Source organism: Homo sapiens, chromosome 16 (genome assembly GCF_000001405.40).
Source record: "Homo sapiens chromosome 16, GRCh38.p14 Primary Assembly".
Lineage (NCBI taxonomy): Eukaryota > Metazoa > Chordata > Mammalia > Primates > Hominidae > Homo > Homo sapiens.
The window spans coordinates 3,211,768-3,215,561 of NC_000016.10; the positions used below are offsets into that span (position 1 = coordinate 3,211,768).

At 45.5% G+C, this 3,794-nt stretch overlaps 1 annotated feature.

Moving 5' to 3' along the window:
• Positions 1-229: a silencer, noted in NCBI's record as "fragment chr16:3261768-3261996 (GRCh37/hg19 assembly coordinates)". NCBI's record gives its function as "represses an EF-1alpha promoter that drives an FKBP-Casp9 reporter gene in an ReSE screen in K562 erythroleukemia cells {active_cell/tissue: K562}" and the evidence as "EXISTENCE:reporter gene assay evidence [ECO:0000049][PMID:32094911]".

A 3,794-nucleotide genomic window follows, 5' to 3' on the forward strand; every position in this document is an offset into this window, starting at 1 on the left:
TAATTTTCACCTTTGAATGTCCCTCTTTTGAAGATGGGTGAGTGGGGCTTCCAGTTTTGTAAGGGATACTTGCGTTATGTTAGGATCCAGCCTAACATTTTCAGGAGGGTGTGTTTTGGGGAAGAGGTGTGCGTATTAATACCACAAGCCAGAGGATGACTCTAGTGGACATTTGTCAGACTTTGTGGCTTCCAAGCATCTGGGCCCACTTCCAAAGTTTGTAGAGTCCCCTAATTTATGGATGTTGTTGGGAAGAGAGCCCACCTCCCACTATAGAAATAAGTACACCAGAAACTTGCTTCTGAGTGTCTCTTTCAGCTAGAATGAGAGCAAGTGACAGGCTCTCTGCCCATCAGATATATCTGCCCTGCATTTGACACAGAGAAGGGGAGACAAGGAGGAACTTGCTCTGTCAGTTTGTAGGCAGCCATTGTAGGGACATGGATTCCTGGAGCGTGACGACAGTAATGCTAGGGGTAGCAGCGAATGTCTGTGAGAAGTACATCAGAAATGCAAGCTGCAGCATCTAGTGCTTGGTGGCAGCAGCACTGGTGTCCTCACTAGCTGGCTTGGAGTCATGATTTGGGGCACTGTTAACAGATGAATTTTTGTTGTTGTTGTAGTTTTGTTTTGTTTTGTTTTTGTTTTTGTAGAAACGGGGTCTCGCTGTGTTGCCCAGGGTGATGTTGAACTCCTGGCCTCAAGCAATCCTCCTGTCTTGGCCTCCCAAAGCGCTGGGACTTCAGGCATGAGACACCACACTCAGCCATAGACTCGTTTGTTAGTTCTCCTAAGAAACAGAGCCAACAAAATATATTGCTAAAGGGTGGGTGGGGTGGGTGGGAAGGTAAGATTTTAAACTCTAAGGAATTGGCACATGTGATTGTGGAGGCTTGGCAAGTTCAAAGTATGCAGGGTGGACCAGAAGGCTGTAGACCTAGCGAAGAGCTGATGTTGTTGCAGCTTGAGTCCAAAGGCAGTGGGTTGACTTTTTCTATTGTGGCCTTCAACTGATTGGATAAGGCCCACCCACATTATGGAGGCTAATCTGGTGTACTCAAGTTCTATTGATTTAAATGTTAATCTCATCTTAAAAATACTCCCCAAAAAGAAAAATAAGAAAGAAAGAAAGAAAGAAGGAAAGAAAGAGGAAAGAAAAGAGAAAGAAAGAAAGAGAGAGAAAGAAAGAAAGAAAGAGGAAAGAAAAGAAAGAGAAAGAAAGAGAGAGAGAGAAAGAAAGAAAGAAAGAAAGAAAGAAAGAAAGAAAGAAAGAAAGAAAGAAAAGAAAAGAAAAGAAAGAGAAGAAAGAGGGCTGGGCGCGGTGGCTCACGCCTGTAATCCCAGCACTTTGAGAGGCCGAGGTGGGTGGGTCACGAGGTCAAGAAATCAAGACCATCCTGGGCAAAATGGTGAAACCCTGTCTTTACTAAAAATACAAAAAATTAGCTGGGCGTGGTGGCGCGTGCCTGTAGTCCCAGCTACTCGGGAGGCTGAGGCAGGAAAATCACTCGAACCTGGGAGGTGGAGGTTGCAGTGAGCCGAGATTGCGCCACTGCACTCCAGCCTGGCGACAGAGCGAGACTCCGTCTCAAAAAAAAAAAAAAAAGAAAGAAAGAAAGAGGCGCCAGGCGGGGTGGTTCACGCCTGTAATCCCACCACTTTGGGAGGCTGAGGTCAAGAGATCGAGACCATTATGGCCAACAATGTGAAACCCTGTCTCTACTAAAAATACAAAAATTAGCTGGGCATGGTGGTACGTGCCTGTAGTCCCAGCTACTCGGGAGGCTGAGGCAGGAGAATCTCTTGAACCCGGGAGGTGGAGGTTGCAGTGAGTTGAGATCAAACCACTGAACTCCAGCCTGATGACAGAGTGAAACTCCATCTCAAAAAAAAAAAAAAAAAAAAAAAGAGAATGGGACAGAGAGAAGGTGATTGGATTTATACATTGTAGCCAAGCATGTAGTGATAGCTTTGCTCAATCCTGGTTCCAAATACTCTGGTTCAACCAGCTATGGTGAAGGGGAGGTGGTAGAAACACGACTCCTGGGGCTCCACCACATTGTGCCTATGCAGATTAGGAAGCTCTATCCCAAGAAAAGGGCAAACCATGTGAGTTGCAGGGACATCCCCAAAGATGTCCATCCTAGGGGTCTAGAGTTCATAAATCACGGCATCCTGGATTCTCCTGGAGAAAACCTCCCTTACAATCAGACTACCCTTCATCTCAAACATTTTCTTTTTCCTTTTTTTTTTTTTTTTGAGACAGAGTCTTGCTCTATTGCCCAGGCTGGAGTGCAGTGGCACGATCTCGGTTCACTGCAACATCCACCTCCTGGGTTCAAGTAATTATTGTGCCTCACCCTCCCAAGTAGCTAGGACTACAGGCACATGCCACCATGCCTGGCTAATTTTTGTATTTTTAGTAGAGACTGGGTTTCACCATGATGGCCAGGCTGGTCTCGAACCCCTGACCTTAGGTGATCTGCCCACCTTGGCTTCCCAAACTTTTGGGTTACAGGCGTGAGCCACTGTGCCTGACCCCAAACATTTTCACGAATTAAGCCCATCTCAGTAATGTGCTCGTAACATTCCCTCCTGTAAAATGGAAAACACGAAGCATCACTAATGTCTTAAGATGACCAGGCAGAGGAAAGCAAGGGCTACACAGAAAACACGGAAGAGCCCCATATCTCAACAAAGGAAGTGATACTGCAAAGGATTTCATGACAGAATTTCCACACCTGTGGGCACAGGAGCAGATCACAAGGTGAGGAGGTTTGTGGTTCCAAGGAATCTTGTCTGCGATTTATCTGTATCAGGATGGCTTCATTTCTAATATCTACAAGTTTTGGTCCAAGAGTTTTATCTAAACGTTAGATAATATTGAATGTCGTCGTTGTTTGGTCCAAAGGGGCCAAAATTAGGTGGGACAATTATGTTCTTCTTGTCCCTAATGAGGCTCTCAGGGAATCTGGTCCCAGTGGCCAAAGGAGGTTCCTACAAATGCCTGCTCTGTGATTGCCCCAAACATTTACTTACACAGAGGACTAAGACCATGAGCCCCTACTCCTCACACACTCAGGACCCGCCTGTGTTTCCAAGACATTCCAACTCCCACAGTAAGTAGAAGCATTGACCAGTTATGTAGAAATGAGGAACAACTGAGAGTGACAGCACCAACCTTCTCCAGGAAAGGTCGCAGAGGTGAACAATTAAGTATGTGTTGGCTCAGATGTGAAGTTCTTTTAGGAATCTTCTTTGCTACATCATCCAGATACAGGAAGTAATGAGTAATGTACAGAGAAGTGAAGTACAGGAGTCCTGAATCCATCAGTTGTCACTTGAGATTAACCCAGTAATCATCAGTCATTCCTCCAGTCTCTTTATGAGCTGCTAACTAGTTGGGTGGGGAACTGAATGTACCAGAGACACACACATTCTCAGAGTCAGGCTATGTGTACGTGTCTGTGTGTTTTGTTTTCTTTTCTTTTTTAATAGAGATGGGGTCTTGGTATGTTGTCCAGGCTGGTCTTGAACTCCTGGCCTCAAGCCATCTTCCCTCTTTGGCCTTCCAAAGTTCTAGGATTACAGGCATGAGCCACCATGCCCAGCCTGTCTGTGTTTTCAACGTTAAATATGCAAAATAAGAATCAGTGAGTCGTCTAGGAAAAGCATCGTAACTGAGTGTTGGAAATTGGACGTATGGGTGAGGAGACCACATCCTGTTTTTGCAAGTTTGTGAATTGATTTGCAAACGTGGTTCTTCCTGGAGCCTCATCACATCTTAACCACCC